The 22,336-nt window shown below is 38.3% G+C and overlaps 1 protein-coding gene and 1 long non-coding RNA gene across 50 annotated transcripts in view, besides 1 other annotated feature; one reads left to right on the top strand and one right to left on the bottom strand.

Annotated features, from left to right (window-relative positions):
- The window catches only part of SYNE1 (spectrin repeat containing nuclear envelope protein 1), a 515,676-nt gene that overhangs the window by 235,487 nt on the left and 257,853 nt on the right, over positions 1-22,336 (top strand). For all 49 annotated transcript variants that reach the window (XM_047418508.1, XM_017010610.2, XM_017010609.2 and 46 more), the window contains 10 exons: positions 535-738; positions 2,053-2,260; positions 3,145-3,257; positions 4,896-5,101; positions 6,205-6,360; positions 10,308-10,599; positions 11,424-11,596; positions 14,495-14,804; positions 16,038-16,202; positions 20,514-20,870. In XM_047418508.1, the coding sequence (XP_047274464.1) occupies positions 535-738; positions 2,053-2,260; positions 3,145-3,257; positions 4,896-5,101; positions 6,205-6,360; positions 10,308-10,599; positions 11,424-11,596; positions 14,495-14,804; positions 16,038-16,202; positions 20,514-20,870 (2,184 nt within the window). The remainder of the gene's footprint in view (positions 1-534; positions 739-2,052; positions 2,261-3,144; positions 3,258-4,895; positions 5,102-6,204; positions 6,361-10,307; positions 10,600-11,423; positions 11,597-14,494; positions 14,805-16,037; positions 16,203-20,513; positions 20,871-22,336) is intronic.
- Positions 15,157-16,356: an enhancer, noted in NCBI's record as "CDK7 strongly-dependent group 2 enhancer chr6:152706655-152707854 (GRCh37/hg19 assembly coordinates)". NCBI's record gives its function as "activates an origin of replication core promoter dependent on BRD2, BRD4, P300/CBP, MED14 and CDK7 cofactors, with strong dependence on CDK7, by STARR-seq in HCT116 cells {active_cell/tissue: HCT116}" and the evidence as "EXISTENCE:reporter gene assay evidence [ECO:0000049][PMID:35650434]".
- SYNE1-AS1 (SYNE1 antisense RNA 1) lies at positions 20,163-21,346 on the bottom strand. The gene is made up of 2 exons (NR_120501.1): positions 21,283-21,346; positions 20,163-20,816 (listed from the first exon to the last, which is right to left on the bottom strand). It is a non-coding gene; the product is annotated as an SYNE1 antisense RNA 1 (long non-coding RNA).

Genomic DNA, 22,336 nt, shown 5'->3' with positions numbered 1-22,336 from the left:
TTGACTAACTAGGGGGCCATAGAAGTCGACCCTCCTCAGCTATATCATCCAGGGAAAAGAGAATAACTAGCCCCACTCAATATTTTAAAGCAACAGTGGGGACAAAAATAAAATTGTTTTATGATAAAATCCTACAGTGATGTTTGCCCCAGATAGTGTTACATCTGAGCAGACAATGGGTATTTCCAGGGAGAATCAAGAGCAGATTTTTGGTCACCACCTGGGAATTCTGGGTAGGTCTAGCTCTACTTTCAGAATGCCCTCTCACATCTTCCCTGGAACCTCAGTTAGAGCTTCCACTCTCCCACCCAGTGTTAACACAATCCTTCCTCTTTCTATTTGCCCATCACTTCATGTGTTTGGCAACTGTGTCCACTGATTTTCCTTCTTGGAAAGGCATATTAACATTGGAGCTGGCTTCCATGATGAGACTTGTGTGGCTTTGACAATTAAGCTGCACGTGAACAGAATTTCTACTGAATGAGTATTCTTCTGGTCTTCAGAGATATTGATGAAATCTTGCTTGATATTTAGTTTATAGAAGCAGACTTAATGCAGAAACTGGAGCATGCCAAAGAAATAACTGAAGTAGCAAAAGGAACCCTGAAGGATTTCACGGCTCAAAGTACACAAGTGGAGAAGTTTATTAATGACATAACAACATGGTTCACAAAAGTGGAAGAATCGTTGATGAACTGTGCCCAAAATGAGACTTGTGAAGCATTGAAAAAAGTCAAGGTAGGTAATAAACTATCATTAAGTGCTTCCATTCAAATGGTGATTGTAGTTCTGTTTTGTGGTGACTATAATAAAAAATATAACCTCTGCTCTCAGTTACCCATATGAACACCAGACCAACTTATTTATGACATTGAACACAGCAAAGTAAGCAACACGTGAAGAACTGGGTGCAGGTGTTCAGAAATCAAAAATGAATACCTTGAAAATAGAAAGCATGTGTTGCTGTAGTGCCTGCTCAGAGTCTATGCTTGTTCAAAGTTTTTTTTTCTTTTTTATAAAAGGGTGGAGCCTCTGGAAGAACTATGTGACTTCCACAAATTTTCAAACTTGAGTATCCAATAGTTTTTCATCACTTAATTATATTTATTGGTCACTGTGACTTCTTTCATCCAGATAATGTATATTTTTTGAAAAAGAAGAAGTTGAGAAAACATTCTATTTCCATGTTTTCTATTTTTTTATTTTTATTTTTTGAGATGGAATCTCACTCTGTCACCCAGGCTGGAGTGCAGTGGCACAATCTGGGCTCACTGCAACCTCCCCTCCCAGGTTGAAGTGATTCTTCTACCACAGTCTCCCCAATAGTTGGAACTACAGGCACCCACCACCATGCCCAGCTAAGTTTTGTATTTTTAGTAGAGATGGGTTTCATCATGTTGGCCAGGCTGGTCTCGAACTCCTGACCTCAAATGATCCACTGGCCTCAGCCTCCCAAAGTGTTGGGATTACAGGTGTGAGCCACCACACCTGGCCCATTTTCATGTTTCCTATCCATATTAATAGATAACATTCCTAATTAGCTATCTGTAAAGGACAAGCACTGAGTTGACTTTTCAACAAATGCAATTTGTTCTCTTTTAGCATATTTCCTTACTGTACTAGAAACTGAGGTCTTTTTTCCTTTTTTTTTTTTAAATTAACTACTGGTGCTTTTGGTGAGCACGTGACTCTGAAACAAAGTTCAAGTGTCTCATTGAAGAATGTGAACTGCGATGGTCTCTAATCAATTGACTAAACCCAAGATCATGGACTGGAATCTATAAGGACCTATTCAGTTTGCTTGAAATGCTAAATTATACCTCACCTCCTAACTACTTCCCAACAGCTGTTTGTTCCCAAGGAGAACTGGGCAAAATTCTGAAAGAATCAGTACAGATCTAGTACAAGTACTCAAAAACGCACCAAAATGTATACACCATGGAGTGGATTCAACAATGTCAATTTCAGATTGTAAAACAGTACCATAGTGAAGTAAATGGAGTATTTCTCTCAAGTTATGAATATCCTTCATAATATACTTTTATTCTGTAGGATATACAAAAAGAACTTCAAAGTCAACAAAGCAACATCAGCTCTACCCAAGAAAATCTCAATAGCTTGTGCCGCAAGTACCACTCAGCTGAGTTGGAGAGCCTGGGCCGTGCAATGACTGGTCTGATAAAGAAACATGAAGCCGTGAGCCAGTTGTGCTCCAAAACCCAGGCCAGCCTGCAGGAATCTCTGGAAAAACACTTCAGTGGTGAGTTCTGAGGGGCCTTAGCATGAGTAGTTTGTTTCCGAGAAAGAATCCAAACCAAATGCTGCCTAGAAACTGCCAGCAAAAGTTTGAGGAAACTTTCCAGGGTGTCATTTCAAATTTGTTTGTGCTTTGCGATTTGAGCAATAGAAGTGCTGTGCTGGAGGCTCTCACCCTATGCAGAATTTTTTCTTTCTTTTTCCTCTTTTTCCCAAGAAAGCAAGAGTTCACCATCTTGATGATTCTGAATTTCATCTGCATTTTCTATATATAGCTCATGTGTGTGGAAAATTACTTCCACTGCTCAAGTGGCCAGCAGCCACTGTCCAAACAACTGCTGAAATTTTTTATGCTATGATGAAGTGACACAATAAACTTAGATGTTGGTAGAAGCCATGAAACAGGGCAGCCATAGGGTCCAGGAAATTGCCCATCCTGTGGCCCTGCCTCTGCTTTCCACACAGCTGTGCCTGACATGGATCCACCATGACTCCCCAAAAGAGGAGGTGGTTCCTCCCTGTGCCATCAAAATGGCTTTAATGTCCCTGGAGCATTTCTCTCCTTGCACTTTTTACATATTCAGGCAATTAATTATTTTTCTTGACCCAAAGAGAAAACACAACAGGATATTAGACATTCCAGGAACATACATTTCTTTTTAGTCTTTCCTCTGAGATAACTTCTCAATTCTACCATGAACATTCATGGCTGTAGATCATACTGTATTACTTTATATATTATTATTTTCTTTGTGGAATATTTTGTAAGGCAAGAGGAGATGAGCTAAAGGCCAGAAATAATTCATGTGGTAATCCTGGGAGCCCATTCAATGTTTTGGATTTGCTTCTGATTTTTTATTTTTATTTATTTATTTTTTCTTTCAAAAGAGTCTATGCAGGAATTCCAAGAATGGTTTTTGGGAGCAAAGGCAGCAGCAAAAGAATCATCAGATCGCACCGGTGACAGCAAAGTTCTAGAAGCAAAGCTCCATGATCTTCAGGTATAGAAGCTGACATCCTTTTCCTTCTTCCCCAAAATGTACTCAGGTGCCTGCAGGCAGACCTAAGTTATCTCATTTCCCAAATCTTATCTGAGCCAATCTTTTCCTCGTCCCTAACAGAATTAGGCTGATTGAGTCAGAAGGAAATAGACAACATGATAAGTATGTTGAGAAACAAGTTGGGGCTACAGAATTTCCAGATCCCTTTCCTCTCTTTTTTTAGCCTATTGACAATTCTTTGAAATTCATTCTAAACTAAACCTAGTTTTAATTTTTATAACAATAAGAGTATAATAATTGTATCTGTATTATATGACTATTGTGGAGGAGTTTTAAAAAGAAGAAGACATGGTTTGTGTTTTTTAGTAATTTATGGTCTATAGTTAGAGATAGGAGATATTCAAACTAAAATAATAGATATTACAGGTTTTATAGGTTTTACTGACTGAAAATGTATGAGCTTAGGAAGGAGAAGGCCATGGTGAAGTAGAGTTAAGAAATGATTTACAGAAGAATAGGCTCAAGTTAGGTTTTGGCCAAGCTTGTCAAGCAGCTAATCCGAGTAAAGCACTATGTTAAGTATTCTAAAAAGTAACCTTTTTCTTTTTTTTTTTTTTTGAGATGGAGTCTTGCTCTGTCACCCAGGCTGGAGTGCAGTGGCATGATTTCAGCTTACTGCAACCTCCACCTCCTGGGTTCAAGTGATTCTCCTGCCTCAGCCTCCCAAGTAGCTGGGATTACAGGTGTGTGCCACCATGCCCAGCTAATTTTTGTATTTTTAGTAGAGACGAGGTTTCACCATGTAGGCCAGGCTGGTCTCAAACTCCTGACCTCAGGTGATCCACCCGCCTTGGCCTCTCAAAGTGCTAGTTACAAACATGAGCCACCATGCCCGGCCAAAATAAATCATTTTTAAAAGCTAATGAGAACCATGAGGATTTTGTGGCCTAATGGGGGATAAAAATGATGTTGAAAATTCATTAGATTAGAAGTTAACGATAGAAAGATCGTTATAGTAAAGGAAGCTGGTTTTGCAGGAGGTGTGGAGAATTCAGATGTAGAATTGTCTCCTTTTAAGCTTGAGGTGTAGCAAACGCCACAAGGAAATGCCTGAGTAACAGGTGACATACCACTCTAGAGCTCTGGGGAGAGGCAGGGCTAGGCCTGGACTCTGGAATTCTTTTGCTTTGTCAAAGCCCTGTCCAAGCATAGATTTTCCAAGAAAGAGATGCAGACCAGGAAAAGAAAGGGCCTGAGGATTTCGCATGCAGGGTGGATCAGGGGAGGGGCTGGAGGCAGCTAACCAGGTAGAGGATCTCACATGAACCCTGAGAGATGGTGGACCTGGACCATGTTGGGACAGTGAGAATGGGGAGAGACTGAGAACAAGACCTTGGTGAGAACGTCCTCGGTTCCAGCTCAGCCTTGTTTACACTTTGTCCTCAGTGGTTCCAGTGGCTGGCTGACACCATTCTCAATGAGGAGCCTTGGTTGTGCCCAATTGTATGCATCATTTTTACTCCAGCCTTGTTAAGCCATTTTCCTTTGGACTCTGTTTTTCTTCTCCTGCTTTACTACTTCAGCTCACAATTGTAATGCATAGTCCCATGGACCTATTACCTTTATTTCCTGAAACAGAACATTTTGGACTCAGTCAGTGATGGGCAGAGCAAACTTGATGCAGTGACTCAAGAAGGACAAACTTTGTATGCACATTTGTCTAAACAAATTGTCAGTAGCATTCAAGAACAAATCACAAAGGCCAATGAAGAGTTTCAAGCATTTCTGAAACAATGCCTTAAAGATAAGCAGGCTCTTCAAGACTGTGCTTCAGAACTTGGAAGGTAGGTTAGTTTAACAAACATAGATTTCATCATACACCAAGTGTGTTTTTAAAGGCTTAGAGAAAAGAGTCATGTGAATAAATAAATAACGTTTGACACTGTGAGTTTAAATTATAATAAGCTTTGATCATAAATACAGGTGATACTAGGGCAATAATCAATTTTTCGGACTCTGAAGTTATGACTTGGCTTTTTTTAATATAGAGAAAACAAACTATATTTACTAGTAACTGAAAATTATATAAATGCATATAATTTTTATTTGGTTCACCAATATATAAAGTTCTGACACCTCAATTTTTAGATTATACAAGGTTTTTCCTTGTATCCACTTCATTTGGGATAGAGTCATAGCAGAAAACAATGATTGAATTCTGTGGATCTAGATTCCAATAAGTAATATATGGTGAATATACGATTAGAAGGGGAGAAAGAGCCACCTATGACTAGGGTGAGAAAAGATGTCAGTAGAATCAAATTGTCTTTCTGATGGCAGAATAATTTGCCTGACTCTTGCCCAGCTTTCTTGGAGAGCTTACATTGTTTCCAAAACTTAGAGCTCTTGAGATATATTTGAAAATCCCTTAAGAAACAAAGACACAGAGGCCACTTTCCCTTCTCTTCCCAGGGACTCCACTGCCCTACTTATTCACTGGCCCCAACTCAAGGGTCTTTGTAGTAAGTCACAAAATTAAAGTGCACATTGACATGAGAATGTAATCTTGTTGGCAATTACCAGCTATGAAATCAATTCATATCCATTGGCCCCAATTCAGGGGTCTTCGTAGTAAGACACAAAATTAAGTGCTCATTGACGTGGGAATGTGATCTTGTTGGCAATTACCAGCTATGAAATCAGTTCAGCTAGGTGAGATGATTCTTTTCCTGCTTGGATCTCAAAAGAAATTGTCATGATTTTCACTTTGTTATTAAAATAAGTGATAATTTGGGTGGGTTAGTTGTTAAGTTTTGTTTTGTTTTTGTCACTTGAACATTCATGAGGTCTTAATTGCCATTTAAAAGACATTGTGACCTCAGCTATTAAAAGTAATTTATCATAACAAGCATGTAAGAATTTCTCTAAGGCATTTTCTTTCCCTTAGCTTTGAAGATCAGCACAGAAAACTGAACTTATGGATCCATGAAATGGAAGAAAGGTTCAATACGGAAAACTTGGGAGAGAGTAAACAGCACATTCCTGAGAAGAAAAATGAAGTTCATAAAGTTGAAATGTTTTTGGGAGAACTGCTGGCTGCAAGGTATGGTCCAGAAATGGAACAGGTCCTTTACCTCTTACCATGTTTTAGACTAGTTGGTTGGTTGGTTGGTTTGGTTTTGATTGGTTAGTTAGTTGGTTTGTGGGTAGTGGTTTGTGCTGTCCTTGAATGTCTGGAATACAGAGGACTATGCTGCACTCTTTGCAGCAGTGCAGTATTCTGGTGAGAGTGCAGGATGGAAGTAAGAAGCTCATCTGCATTCCAGATCCACCTCCTGTTTGTTCAAGAAATTGGGCAGGTCACTTATCTCCTGTTGCTCTTGATTTTAGCCTTTAAACATTGTGTTAATAATACTGTACTTTCCTCTCTGAGGTTATTTTGAGGATCAATTAACATAATGTGAAGCTGATATGAAGGAAAGAAAACCACAAATTCACAGTGACTGTAAAGATAAAAAAAAGAAAAAAAGAGTGCTTGCCAGGTGCGGTGGCTCACGCCTATAATCCCAGCACTTTGGGAGGCCGAGGCAGGCAGATCACCTGAGGTCAGAAGTTCGAGACCAGCCTGGCCAACATGGTGAAACCCTGTCTCTACTAAAAATACAAAAATTAGCTGGGCGTGGTGGAGGGCACCTGTAATTCCAGCTACCCGGGAGGCTGAGGCAGAATTGCTTGAATCCGGGAGGCAAAGGTTGCAGTGAGCCGAGATCATGCCACTGCACTCCAGCCTGGGTGACAGAGTGAGACTCCATCTCAAAAAAAAAAAAAAAGGAAAAAGAAAAAAAAAAGAGTACTGTATATGTCAATTTCCATATGTTATTCACACATTTCAGCTTCCAGTTCCATTTCCCACCCACCCATCCTTGTAATCTTAATAAAGTAAAAGGTATGGTCAAGTCTGACTTTCTTTGTGGTCCCTGTTCCCAACTACAGTATTTATTTCTTCATTGCTTCCCACTGAGAAAACGTTTCTGGCTCCTTTCCCAGGCAAAGTTCCCTGATCTGTGCTTTTGACCCTACATTGAGGGCTTTGCTCCCAAATTTGTGCTCCACCCCTGGCATTTTCATTTGCTTGCTCTCCTTTGGAAGATAGGATACTTTCCACAGGGAAGTGCAGCTTGGCTTTGGCTCCTTGGGCTCATTACCTGTCCTCTTAAAGAGCCAGTGCATCTACATAAGAAGCAGAAGAGGATAGCACCCACTCTACTTTATCAAATAAGTCAGAAACAATCATATTAGAAATCATTCTACTATAAAGACACATGCACATGTATGTTTACTGCAGCACTGTTCACAATAGCAAAGACTTGGAACCAACCCAAATGCCCATCAGTGATAGACTGGATAAAGAAAATGTGGCACAAATACACCATGGAATACTATGCAGCCATAAAAAGGATGAGTTTCATGTCCTTTGCAGGGACATAGATGAAGCTGGAAACCATCATTCTCAGCAAACTAATACAGGAACAGAAAACCAAACACCGCATGTTCTCACTCATAAGTGGGAGTTAAACAATGAGAACACATGGACACAGGGAGGGGAACATCACACAACGGGACCTGTCAGGGGATGGGGGCTTAGGGGAAGGATAGCATTAAGAGAAATACCTAATGTAGATGACAGGTTGATGGGTGCAGCAAACCACCATGGCACTTGTATACCTATGTAACAAACCTGCACATTCTGCACATGTATCCCAGAACTTAAAGTAAAATAAAAATAAAAAAAGAAATTCCAGAATTCAGATCATAGTCATTTTCTGTTTCCACTGAGTCCTCTTTTTAGTCAAACATGCCCAGTATTCCTTGTCTTGAAAAACAAACATACAAACAAATGCACAAAAGAACCCATGCTGATAACTACTTGTTGGTATGCTAGTTTGATGACTGCTATAAATTGTCCCTGAAATACATTGGAACATCTCTATGAGCCCTTACTATAGTGTAAGCTCTTCATTTACTCTATGAACCCCAATTTCCAGCTATGAGTTTCTCAAGATCAGTGACTTAAGATCTATATCATTTCTGTTCATTATCTAGTATAGTGCCAGAAAATAGAAAATGTTTGCTGAATTAACAGAATACTAGCATCATTGCAACCATATAACTTTCTGAAAACTACATTGCACTTAAATTTTGCTTTTTAAATGTTGACTCGTGTCTAGATACAATATAACACACCCAGACCTACTTCCCTTCTTCCAGATGTTTTAAATGGTTTTCCATAGTCTCAGCTTTTATTTCGTCTCTACAGGCTGCTCATTACCTTCCTCTGTATCTGCTTCTCCTGCCATCATTACACCAAAACTGCGTTAGAGAAAGTGGCCCAAATATACTTCAACACCAAATTCAAGGTCTTTTATGTTCCTCATTGTTTTTCTAATAATTGCGACTTTTTCGCATTGATAAGCATGCAATCCTTCTTGCAGTTTCAGTCTGATATTCCAGGACCAGATGCTAAGAGATCTTAGTGTGCTTGTTTCTGGGTGCTTTCTCTCCATCCTGGCCACTTCTGCAGACAATCCTAACACACTGTTCTGCTCATTCAGGTTCTCCACGGGGCCACCTGACTTCTCTCACTGGCTTGCTGCTTGCTCCTCCCAGTCTTCTAGATTTCTTTTCACCATAATATTTCACTACTTGAAATATTTTAAGGAAATGCCCTATATAAAAGTACCTCAGCTTAAGACTCATTGAATTTTTATCATGCATTAAGCAATTTATCTCATAGTAAGAAGGGAAATCTCTTTTCTTGAATTATTATTTAACTCAAATCATTGCTTAAGCCACCTTCTTGTCTCACCAAACAGATAACAAGTATAATAAATGTCTTTTAGAGTAGGTGTTTTTATTTTATTTTATTTTATAAGTTCCAGGGCACATGTGCAGGATGTGCAAGTTTGTTACAGAGTAGGTGTCTTGTTGTATAACTCTTAGCAGATCTCAGGGTGGCCCATAGGATATATTTGCATAACAGCCACTCCAAAAAAATTTGAAACATTCAGTTTCCACGAGAGATTTGCTTTGTGTTCTTTTTCTAGTAGTCACAATAGTTTATGTTAAGACATCCCATGCTACCCTCTGATATCCTGGGCTTTTTCCTGGTAAATGTGCAGATAAGAATTCAGAACTCTATAAAATGGGAATAAAACCAACCAAGCCACATAGTGCTTACGTTTTCCCCTTGATCTAATTAACATGGCTCCAAACTAAGATGAGCTCAATACACAAGATATAACAAGAAAGCTCATAAGTGCTCCTACAACAGCTTTTCGAAAGAACATTTTTTTTTTGCACTTAGTCTCTGCACAATATTGTGTTGGGTCTTGGGAACATAAGATGAATATAATGGCCCTAGCTTTTAGAAAGTGAAAGGCTTTTGGATTGAGATAGTCGGCATACATGGCGATAGAGCAAGACAAGGAGCAGAGGGCACAAAGAGGTCCCACAATCCCCACCCACCCTGAATTGGTGTGGATGCTCCTGGGGATGTGATGCCTGCGCCGAGCTTTGAACAGGCAACTAGGAATGCAACAGTGCTGAGCAGAAGGGTTTTCATAAAGGAGGAATCTCCATGTAGATACAAGACAGCAGGGGTTTTGAGAATTTCAGGGAGCTTTTCCTCATCTGACCATTAAATAGGAATGCAGAGATGCTACGGAGAAGCCTGAAGAGGCAGCTGGGACCATTTTCTGAATTAAATTTCTGGAAATACAGTAAGTAATACAGTAGGCTCCACCACTGCTATTTGGATGCAGGCACAGCACAGACTGAATGTTATCCCCTGATAGGTACTGACAACATTAGGAGAGATCATAAGAGAATGAAATAACCAGGTCAGTTCCCAGCATCTTTATTTAAAAGGCATGTCAGCTATGAGCCTGTGTCTGGTTACTGCTCCAATATCAACAATCATTTGTCACTCCCCTGCACTCCAGGATGTCAGAATTAATTTTTTTTCTTTTTTTTTTTTTTCCTTTTTTTCAGAGAGTCTCTTGATAAGCTTTCCCAGAGAGGGCAGCTTCTGAGTGAAGAAGGCCACGGTGCTGGGCAGGAGGGCCGCCTGTGTTCCCAGCTCCTCACAAGCCACCAGAACCTACTTAGAATGACCAAAGAGAAACTCCGGAGCTGCCAGGTGGCCCTTCAGGAGCACGAAGCCCTGGAGGAAGCACTGCAAAGCATGTGGTTCTGGGTGAAGGCCATTCAGGACAGACTGGCCTGTGCAGAGAGCACTCTTGGGAGCAAAGACACCCTGGAGAAACGGCTGTCACAAATACAGGTACATGCGACACCAGCCAGACACTGACAACTGCTGAATGCTAATTTGATTAGATTCACAAGTGCTTGTGTTGTGTCCTAATTGTTCTGTAAGCCTCTAAATGAGGATTGTGTGGGCAAAATGGAGAAATTGGGCAAAAAAGGATACAGAGGCATCATTTTTCCCCTTTGTAAGAGGAAAATGTTATTTTAATAGCTTTAAATAATTTTAAATTTGATTTAGTAAATATTCAGCAAGCGTTACTGAATATCTACTCTGCTCCAAGCACTCTGCAAGTTGCTGGGAATATAGAGATAAAAGTTAGGACCCATTTTCTAGGAGTTCACAGTCTAGGGAAGACACCAATCTGTAAATTGTTACTTTCAATACAGTCCGTGTGTAGGGGCCATGATTAAAGCCATCAAGGGTATATTGAAAGCTCAGAGGAGATCACCAACCCAGACTATAGCCAATGAAGCTGACCTTGAAAGAGAGAAATTAGCCAGCCAATTAATGTAGGGGACTGCTGGGTTTTAGACAGATGTGTCTTCATTTTCAAAAGAATGTATTTTCACTCTTTGAAACTGAAGTCAATAAAATTATACTTTCTAGGCTAGTGGTCCTAGTTTTCTAAGAATTTATATTGGAATTAATCTTTGACTCCTAGACTCCCAGATACCTAATTTTGAGTCAATATTATATTGCAATAGGGCCCAGAGTTTGTTGTTTTCATTTTAAGGTAAGTAAAGTATTCCTACTTCAATTCTTATGGAAAACTACCATTTTTTTAAAATAGAAGAAGGTTTTTACATGCCTACTGATGAGTATTCTTTCTTCCTTCCCAGGATATTCTCCTGATGAAAGGTGAAGGGGAAGTTAAGTTGAATATGGCCATTGGCAAGGGGGAACAGGCCTTGAGAAGTAGCAACAAAGAAGGTCAGAGGGTGATTCAGACTCAGTTAGAGACCCTTAAAGAAGTGTGGGCTGACATCATGAGCTCCTCCGTCCACGCTCAAAGGTACAGAACCTATTTTTAGAGTTTGTTTAAGTCCAATGCAGTGACTTAGTAAAATGATGGAGCAGTACTGAGGTCTCCTGGGGTGGAATTCCCAAGCATTTTACTGTAGCTTGTAGGCATGCCTGTCTTTGTCTAAGTTGTGTTTTCCATAGGGCGATGACTGGTTTTTGCTTGTTATTGCTTTGTTTCTGTGTTCTTACTTGCATTTTTTAAATATTTAAATCTACCTATTATCTCTTCTGGAATCTTATGTGACATGGGCTCAGCAAAACATCTCCTTTCAAGCCATCCAAGCAAGAATATATGGTTCTTTAATAACTTGAATACATTTTAGCTTAAGGAACATATGGAAAATTAAGCTATTGGCAGCTGTTGAGCTTAGTCGTAAATCTATTCCTCAACTAGAAGTCATACTACGCCCATTTGCATTATAGGAAATGTGTAGGATGGTTTTGATTGTCACAGTGACGAGGGAATATCCCTGGCATTTAGTGACTGAGGCACAGAGAGCTCATATCCTACAAAGTGTGGAACATTCTCCCACAACCAAGAGTCAGTCCATCCAGAATAGAGCCCAGCCGTAGAGCCTCTGTTGAAAATCATCTGTACCAGATGTTGATGAGGAAGCAGGGAAGTCCTTGATTGTTATACCAGGTAGTGTTTTTGTTGTAATTATAAGTGAGAGATTTCTCCCTACCTCCCTCTTCTCAGAGTATCCATAAATAATCTGGCTCATTTGTTGGACAAATGACCATCAGTCTGAATTACAGTAAAAAAGAGCCATATTCTGATGGTTATATATCCTGTTAGATCATTGACACACTGGGTGCCCAATGTGATCATAACAAAATAGATGAATAGAAGATTAAAGTTCATACAAAGAAGGGGATAACAGACACTGGTGCCTCCTTGAGGGTGGAAGGTGGGAGGAGGGAGAGGAGCAGCAAAAATAACTGTCATATGCTAGGCTTAGTACATGGGCAATGAAATAAATCTGGGCAGCAAACCCCCATGACACGAGTTTACCTATACAGCAACTCTGCACACGTACCTTTGAACCTACAATAAAATTTTAAAAATATTTAAAGAAAATTCAAGTTCATTACAAAGCAAAACAAAAATAACACTACAGTTATCCACGGCAATGTGAACAAAAATCCCTGGTTACAACTAACAATTTGGAGGGTTTTTTTGTTGTTGTTATTATTGTTGTTTTTTCATTTAATATGGAGCATAGGCAGTGACTCTCAAAGTCAGCAGGATTTTGCATCTTAGTAATAACTCACAATGGTCAGCAAAGAAAAAAAATCAGATGCTATCATTGTCTTACTCTATATCATAGACTGCTGGAGCGTGAACTAAGCTTCCAGAGGCTTGGCTTAGGCCAGTTTCCTAAAACTTCATAGGAATATGGGTAGATATTTTTCAGATGTTAGAATAAGATGTTACATGCAGGAAGCAGACTCTGGTCCTTGACTCCACTATTTCAGCAAGAAATTAAATTTGACAGTGACATATTGAGTGATAGCAATGTTCAAATTATTGCATTAAAATAATGAAATAAAACAGAAAGGTTTTTGCCCTCTAAAAGCTCAGACACCAGCACAGGATGTATTTTGGAATACTCTGACTCAGACTATGTTACTAACCATTTTCAAAACACATTGTGGAGTTGTAGAAGAATGCAGAGTCTTGGCTCATGCCTGTAATCCCAGCACTTTGGGAGGCCAAGTTAGGCAGATTGCTTAAGCCTAGGAGTTTGAAACTACTCTGGGCAACGGGGCAAAACTATGCCTCTACAAAATATGCAAAAATTATCTGAAGTCACAGTCAAAATTCAAAGAAAGAGAAACAAAATATAAAAATTAGCCAGGCGTGGTGGCACACACTTGCAGTCCCAGCTACTCGGGAGGCTGAGGTGGGAGGATCACCTGATCAGAGGACACAGAGATTGCAATGAGCTATATGATTGCACCACAGCACTACAGCCTTGGTGACAGAGTAAGACCCTGTCAAAAAAAAAAAAGGCGGGGGGTGCTTTTTAGAAAATTATTTGAGGAACAGGTAGGACTGTAAAGCCTGCATGATGAGGTTCCAATGGATCAATGGATGCAAAGATGCAAAAGCAACAGTTTGAGCAAATACTGGAAGTTCATTTACCACAGGATTTTAATTTCAGACTCATAGGCTTGTATGCAGGGGGAGCTGGGGAAATCACTGCAGATGAGTTTAGAATAGTTTGTAATGCTTAATAATGGAGGGATTTTTCTTAAATGCCAGTCTGGAGAGCGTTTGGTTTGACTATGGAGAAAGCTATTATATTTGTGACTATTTTTCTTATAAATACTTGAGCATTCATTCACACATTCGACACAAAAGCACTGTATATTGTGTGTGTGTGTGTGTCCCCAAATGAAAATCAACCTAATGATAGATCATTTACTCAGGAAGGATACCTTGAATTTTGAATTCCAGTCAACAAATAATCACCATCTGATTTTAATAAGATAAACTATTGATAATTCCAAGAAAATTAAGAACTGATCTATATGAAATAAAATTTCATTGATGTTCCCATGCTGATTTTAAACAACATAACATATAAATGTATATTGCTCATTTAGAATAGTTAGCATTTGGAAGACAAATTCCAGATGCATGTATGACCACAACTTCTTATTTCATGTTTTAATATAGATTGACTTTGTTCAAAGGACCTGTGGTAAGGATCTTATGGATCAGAGAAGTAGTGTTTCTCCCTGCACTCAAAAGCAACATTTTCATCACTTCCAGTAGCATTCAATAAAACAATTGGCATGGATGTCACGACTTTGTGATTGGTTTTCAGTAGAGATGTCAAAATAATTCATTTTTGTTAATATGTGACATTAATTCTAGCACTTTAGAGTCTGTGATTAGCCAATGGAATGACTATGTAGAGAGGAAAAACCAGTTGGAGCAGTGGATGGAATCAGTGGATCAAAAAATAGAACATCCCTTACAACCACAGCCAGGTCTGAAAGAGAAGTTCGTCCTGCTTGACCACCTCCAGTCCATCCTGTCTGAGGCAGAAGATCACACGAGAGCCCTTCACCGTCTAATTGCGAAGTCCAGGGAGCTCTACGAAAAGACAGAGGATGAGTCTTTCAAGGACACAGCTCAAGAGGAGCTGAAAACACAGTTTAATGATATAATGACTGTTGCCAAGGTTAGTGCTTTATATTGAAAGTAGATGCTTTATAATACATTAATACAATATATTGATTTATATTAATAATATAATGACTGTTGCCAAGGTCAGGTAAAGAAGAAACTGTGGATTAAATTGTTGGAGAATTGGCTGCTCTAAAACTATTTGTACATTCAGTAAATGGGTATGACATAAAGATCATTTCTTACTATGAATGCCTATTCATTTTTCTCTTTCTACAATCTTGGGATTATTCTTTATTGCTTATTTTTCTCTTTCTCCGCTTTTTTAGTTAATCTCTCTACTTTGCACATCAAATGTCGCCGTTAAAGTTGTTTTTCTTTTGCTACACTTATATTTGTTATATTAAATGCAAGTCTATTTACCGTCAAGATTCAGTCGTGTACGAAATATTGTGTTCATCTCTCATCTTAGTAAAAACGGTTTCTATTTTCCAAAGTATAAACTCCTTTATATAATATCAAAAATATCTTTCCAATTCTCTATATGAATCTTTCATTTCCTTCATGATTATTCTTTGGCATATTTGTAAATATTATAGAAATTAAGGGAGAGAGTTGTTGTTGTTTGCTGCTTTTTCTTTTCTTTGGTTTGCCTTCTTGGGAACTGACTCTTTTCTTCTTGACATTATGATTATTAATAGATGTGCTTGTTTATCTTCGTTTTCATCTTGTTAATGATTAAGAGCTATGACTCAAGTCAAAAAGACGTTAAGTTTGAATTCTGGCTTTGACACTTTTGAATGTGTGACTGGCCACAATTACCCATTACCTAACCTCTCTAAGCTTGAGTGTCTTTTCCTATAAGATAATAATAATAATAGTATCTTCCTCACAGGACTGTTATGAAGATTAAATGACCAAATGCATTTAAAGTGCTGAACAGACTGCTGTACACCAAGCTAACAAATAATTGCTTTAATTAGAATGGTTATGATAATAATTATTAAGAGGATTTTTAGTGAGGGATGTTAGCCAACATGAATTAAGCATGATTTCCATACTAAGGTAGAAAATAGTAAACTTACAGGAAAATAGTTGCTTTTCCAAAGCCTTGACATTTAGTTAAATTTGATAGTTTCTTCTTAAGATATTAAACTCAGAGAAAATTCAAGAACAAGAATGAAATTTTCTGAGATGTGTTAAGAGACCTCTATCAGGCCTGTTGTCTTACCTGAGTTCATGTTCTCAAAAGGACCACTGTTAAGGTAGTCTTTTCTTTGTTTACTAGGAAAAAATGAGGAAAGTGGAAGAGATTGTGAAAGATCATCTAATGTATTTAGATGCGGTCCACGAGTTCACAGATTGGCTCCATTCAGCAAAGGAAGAACTTCACCGGTGGTCAGATATGTCTGGAGATTCATCAGCCACCCAGAAAAAGTTATCAAAAATTAAGGTCAGGAAATGAACAGATGCTATATCTACATTGCTTCATTCCTTCTTGAGTACTTTTGATAAAGATTTTGTAGATAAGATTCTGTTATTTAAAATGTTTCCTTCCTGTTTTCTATTTGATGCCTCACTGATTCTACACATAAACAAGAGTCATGAGAAGAATTCAAAAGACTTTACACTTATGAGCACAATGTAACATTGTCTTTACATTTCTGTATGCAAATGTGCTTGTTGCCGTAATATGACAGGCTAGGAAATGGCTAATTTGGTGGGCTGACAAAACCAGATACTATTGTTTAGCACCATAGAAGAAAAGTTTATATAGTAACTTAGTTAAATGTATTCTAACAATAACCTGAAAATGTCATTCTGGATGTTTTGTTCTGCTTTTCTAGACGACATCCAACAACATAATAGAAGGGAGTACTTCAAAGGACCTTAAAATTATCATCTCGTTTACTCTGCATAAGGACAATTTCTAAAACAGAAATTTACCTTTCTGGGGGAGTTTCAGACTCTGGTATCTTTTAGTAAATTTCTAGTTGCTTAAATATTAAATTGTAATCATTTTCCCCCATGGAAAATGGATTTTAACATTAAAATGAAGGAGCAATGAAATCCTCAGTGGTTTAGTTTTAGAGGAGGAAATGTTAGGAATAAATAGTGTAATTGTGGCCAGGAATTTAAAACTCAGATTGTGTTTTGATTCCAAGATCAGAACATAAAAGTCATAAAAATTATAGCTGATGGTTACAATTGTAACCACATTTTGCAGATCTATTTTTTTTTTTTTTTGAAATGGAGTCTTGCTCTGTCACCCAGGCTGGAGTGCAGTGGCACGATCTTGGCTCACTGCAACCTCTGCCTCCTGGGTTCAAGTGATTCTCCCTGCCTCAGCCTCCCGAGTAGCTGCGATTACAGGTGCTGACCACCACGTCTGGCTAACTTTTGTATTTATTTTAGTAGAGACGGGGCTTCACCATGTTGGCCAGGCTGATCTCAAACTCCTGACCTCAGGTGATCAGCCTGCCTTGGCCTCCCAAAGTGCTGGAATTACAGGCATGAGCCATGGTGCCCGGTCCCTGAAGATCTGCTTCTAAGTGCTTTAAAAGTATTATCTTATTTAAATCTTATGACTATGTATGTTTTAACTGAGATAATCACATAAAACCACTTTTTAAGTCCTTTTTTTGTGTGTTATTCTTTAAAATTCTTCTTTGATACATTTCTTCGTAATATTCTGATTTATTCATCCATCCTTCCATCTATCCATCTACCCATCTATCCATTTATTCAGCCAGGACTGTGCATTCCCTAAGGAACTTGCAGTCTAGTGAGGAACAGCGATCCACAAACTGGTCTTTATAAAATAATACAAAAAATGTAATGAGAGCTTACTGTACTATTAGAGTTCAGGCTCTGGAATCAAAGAAACCCAATGCCACATCCTCCTTCTATTGGCTTTCTAGCCGTGTCTGTCAGCAAGTTACCTGATGTCCTCAAGCCTCCACCTCTCAATTGGTTAAAAAATACATACATGAAAATAGTACCTGTCTGATAAAGTTGTTTTGACAAGCAAATTAGATCATACACATAAAACCTGTAGCATCATGCCTGGCACATAGAACACACCCAATAAGAAAATCCAGTGGATTTGGTAAATGATTGATTAATGGGCTATAGCATGACAAGGTGGGAAGAGTCAAGGATGATGGTCAAGTCTTTGCCTAGAATCCACAGGACTATTACCACCTGAGGAAAATAATTGCATGCGGAGGAGCCTGGTGATAGAGGTGAAGACATGAGCTGTTCATTGATGATCAGATCCAGTTTGAACTGCCAGGTAGTAGTAATGTCTTGGGGGCAGTTGTAAATTCAAGACTGAATTTCAGGTTAAGAAGACGGATAGAAGACATGGAGTTGAAAGTGATTAGTGTCTAATTTGTTGTTAAAGCCACTAAAACAGATAAAACCAAGACCTATGTATAGAGCAAATAGAACAATGGGCACAGGACCAAAAGCTGGGTACTACCAATATTTAATGAGCCATAGGAGAAAATGATTTGAAAGGTAGAGAGAAAAAGGAGGGGAAAAACAAGAAGGGGAAGAGTAGGAGGGTGTGATGCCACTGAGGCTCTAAGTAGAGAAGGTGGTCGCCATCACAGGTACAGCAGGAGGCTGCCATTAGGAGGAATACTAAAGAATCCCAACTAGGTTTGACAATGAGGCTGTTGGGCAACCAGTCTGAGAAACATTTGCACAGCAAGGGAAGGTGAGAAACCAGGTTACATGGATTTAGGAGTAAATGGCAAGTGAGGAAGAGGAGATAGCAGAAATGGACTAATGTTTCAAAAAGTTAATAAATAAGAGAAAGTAAGATAATTCTTTCACAAAGGCTGCTTCCTGGGTTGACAAATACTCTTTTTTATTGAGAAAGCCTTTATAAAGTGCTTCCATAAAGACAAGGAATATGGGAGAAGGAATTGGCAGAAAGAAATTGGGATGGAGAAAGTGAAGACTATCAGAAACTGCCTCTCAGAAGTTCAGGTCCAGCCTGAATGTAGGTTAGTGTGTGGGTGGTTTTAAAAACCTTGGAGGAAATACATAAAGCACCTCCTCTGTCCTTCAACACCATACCTATCACATCCACAGGAATAATCACTGAGAAAAGGCAACTCTAAAGCAAAATGTATATGGGTGTGAGGGCGGGAATGTACATATGTGTGTATGTGTATATCATATGTTTAAAAATGTAAATACAAGATAAGAAAATATATGCAAAAGCCATTTCAAAACTCTTGACAATGATGATGTCCTTATTCAAATTCTGAATGACTAGATTTCTGATTGCAAATATTGAAGTGTTCCATTTTCATGCTAAGGAAAATTGGGATAAAGCATAAGAGAGTATTTTGGGAAACTTCAAATTTGAAATTGCTCACAAAGGCAAAATAATTACAAGTATTAAGGTCTATTAGTTAGACATAGCACTGGTTAAAAAGTTAGATTTTTTTCTTCATCAAATAACTACTATACACACTAATAAACAGTGATGGTTTTTAGAATCCTGCTGCTGAGAAGGTTGAATATACATATCATGCTGTGTGTAAGGGTTTTCATGTCATTGTAATTTAGACTACTGCACAACTGAATACTAAATACTTTCAAATGATCTATATTAAAATATGGCTCTATTGTATATAATTATGAACAGATATATTTATTTCAAGTTAATTTAATGAGATGCAAACTATATTATATAGACTAGTTAAGACATACTTTATGCTTAACATAATTTATTAAGCATGCTTCATACTTAACATTCCAATGTTTCTTTACTTGCTAATTGGTCATTGATTTTCTTCTTGAACATTTTTGTGCCTGATTATCTTTTATTTCTATTTAATCCGGTAGTAAAGTCATAATTTTGTAATAATATTAACAAAATCCTGCCTTTAGCAATAGATATGTAAATATATAAACATCGGATGATTATTTCACCAAGAAAAATTTTAGTAAGAGAATCTATTCTCAGAAATGCTGCAATTATATCAATTTAACAATGTGATTTAATTTTATCTTGTTTTCCTTTACAGTATTTGTGTGCTTTAAGATCGAGCTAAATTGTTAACTTGGCTATAGCTAAACTGTTAAATTTCTAGTGACTTTTTTAAGGTAAAAAAATACTAATAAATGTACTCAGTCTAGAGGTTACTTTAAACTTTTGAGTAAGTCAGTCTATGAATGAATTATTCATTTTATATGCTACAAAAATGTTTACTTAGTATTGAGGTATTTGGAATCGAGTAGGGCTCATTCTTTTGCTGTGATGAGTCTGCTTGATTCCTAGTAGAATGGAAGTGTGATTTAAGCCACCACCCTGTTGAAGAAGATGAATTGAGTATAGAGACCGTGAGCAGAACACAGTTCTGCCACGATCTTTATTTACTTGAGCATCCACTTTGAGGGAAATATGGGTTTAATCATTCACAGGAGCAATCCACCACAGGCAAACACTTGAGTCACTAAACATTTTCACGTGTGCGAATAATGCCTGATTTCAGGGTCTCTGTTTAGTCTGTTTCAGGATATTGAGGATTCTCGGGATTTTTTTGCCATAAGCCTTAGGCACTCGTGATGACAACTCCCGCTATTATAATTTAAGAGTGGACAGATGAATTGATTCTGGGTCCTTGTGGCACACTTGTTAAAACTTCCTGGCAGGACAGGGTCCCCCTGTGTACACAGTTGAAAACTTGCAGTCCAAGTGACTCACAGGCTCTTCAGTTACCATGGTGATATTCCATTACAGGAGCTGATAGATTCCAGAGAGATTGGTGCAAGCCGTCTCAGCAGAGTGGAGTCGCTGGCTCCCGAAGTGAAACAGAACACAACTGCCAGTGGGTGTGAGCTCATGCACACGGAGATGCAGGCCCTGCGTGCCGACTGGAAGCAGTGGGAAGACAGTGTATTCCAAACGCAGAGCTGTTTGGAGAACCTGGTCAGCCAGATGGCCCTTTCGGAGCAGGAATTCTCAGGCCAAGTGGCTCAACTGGAGCAGGCCCTGGAACAGTTCAGTGCCCTTCTGAAAACCTGGGCTCAGCAGTTAACCCTCCTGGAAGGCAAGAACACGGATGAGGAGATAGTGGAATGCTGGCACAAAGGACAAGTAAGTTGGCTTCCTGTTTTCTATTGGTGGTTATGCTTTAAAAAATGTTTTGACTTTCATCATTCCTTAAAAAAAAAATCTTGCTAACTAAAAACACGCAACATGCACACTTGGAAGAAGTATTTATCTCATTAAATAAGCAAAGTCTGATTTGTTTCCTTTTCTTATATATCAAACTTTTGTAAAAATAAAGATTTGGGTTATTATTTGCGGTAGGAAACATTTGTTGTTAGTGGAGACATTTTACTTTCATTCCTATGGTGTAAGAGTCTGTAATACTGTATTCAGCCATTCAGTCTGAAAAATGGCCTGTGGGCAGGGGCATAAATAGACAGAGAGTCATAGCTGTTTTCTTGCCAGTTAACTATTTCATACAACTAAATGATTGAATTTATAGCCTTAAAAGACTCACTTGGTAATCTCCTACAGCACAGCAAATAGTTATCTCCCCGATTAGCTCTCCTCTGTGTGGTTTTGACAGCTGTTCTTGAATTAGCCTGTTAACAGAACTCTACGTCACCCTCCCTGGTCACCTTCCCGAGACTTTTTTTTTTTTTTTGAAGCTAATGGCAGCTTCTTTAGAATGTGAGAAAGGGAAGCCTACAAGGGAGACCGAAGAATGAGCAAGAGTGTAACCTCTTCTTCGTTTCTTTCACTGTTAAACAGTATCTTTGAAAGCCTTTTCAATATTTCCAGTTTTATAATGCCCTGATTCATGGATGTCCTTAAAAGGAAATTTAGTAAACTTCTCTGCTCCTATTTATATTACAATCATTTCAAAATAGCTCCTGCCAGTAAGAAAGTCATGTAGTATTTCCAGCAGTGTCTGGTTTTAAATCAAGTATTTGAAACAAATGCAGCATGCCATAAAATAAAGCTTTCTACCTCTTTATGCTACTCTATTTATAATGATTCTAGGTTTGGGGGTTTGTTTTTGTTATTCTGTTCCATTTCCTGTCCTTTAGATTTATGTACCAGAATAAAGCATAGAAATCAGTTCTGTCACAGAGGGACAAAGAAGTTGATAATTGCTCTACATGGTATAATATGAAAAAATCAGTTACACTTTCTTGGTTCCTTTTTCTTTCCCTTTCTTTCTATTCCAGTCACAGAGTGAAATTTTTAAAAAGGAAAGATTTGGCTGTGCCTAGATTACATTACTATTCTGTTCATTATTTTTACGTTGATATTATTAGTAAAAATAATGGTTGAGGCCTATAAAAATATACATGAGAATGCAGTAGTAAATATGGGTTTTCAGTTGTGTTAAATAGTTCAAATGTGACAGCCCTCTGTGTATGTCTGCTTCCAGATTTGACTCCAGGGTCAATGCTTTTGATGACAATGCTACATTGCTTCTCAATATTCATGTTTTCTTTTATTTCTAATAATGGCATTTTATCTAAAAGTGGAGATATTTCTATCACAATGAATATGTAAGAAAATGTTAACAAAATAGTAAATAT

The sequence above is a fragment of the Homo sapiens genome, chromosome 6 (assembly GCF_000001405.40).
Source record: "Homo sapiens chromosome 6, GRCh38.p14 Primary Assembly".
Classification (NCBI taxonomy): domain Eukaryota; kingdom Metazoa; phylum Chordata; class Mammalia; order Primates; family Hominidae; genus Homo; species Homo sapiens.
This window is presented reverse-complemented; position numbering and strand designations above follow the sequence as displayed.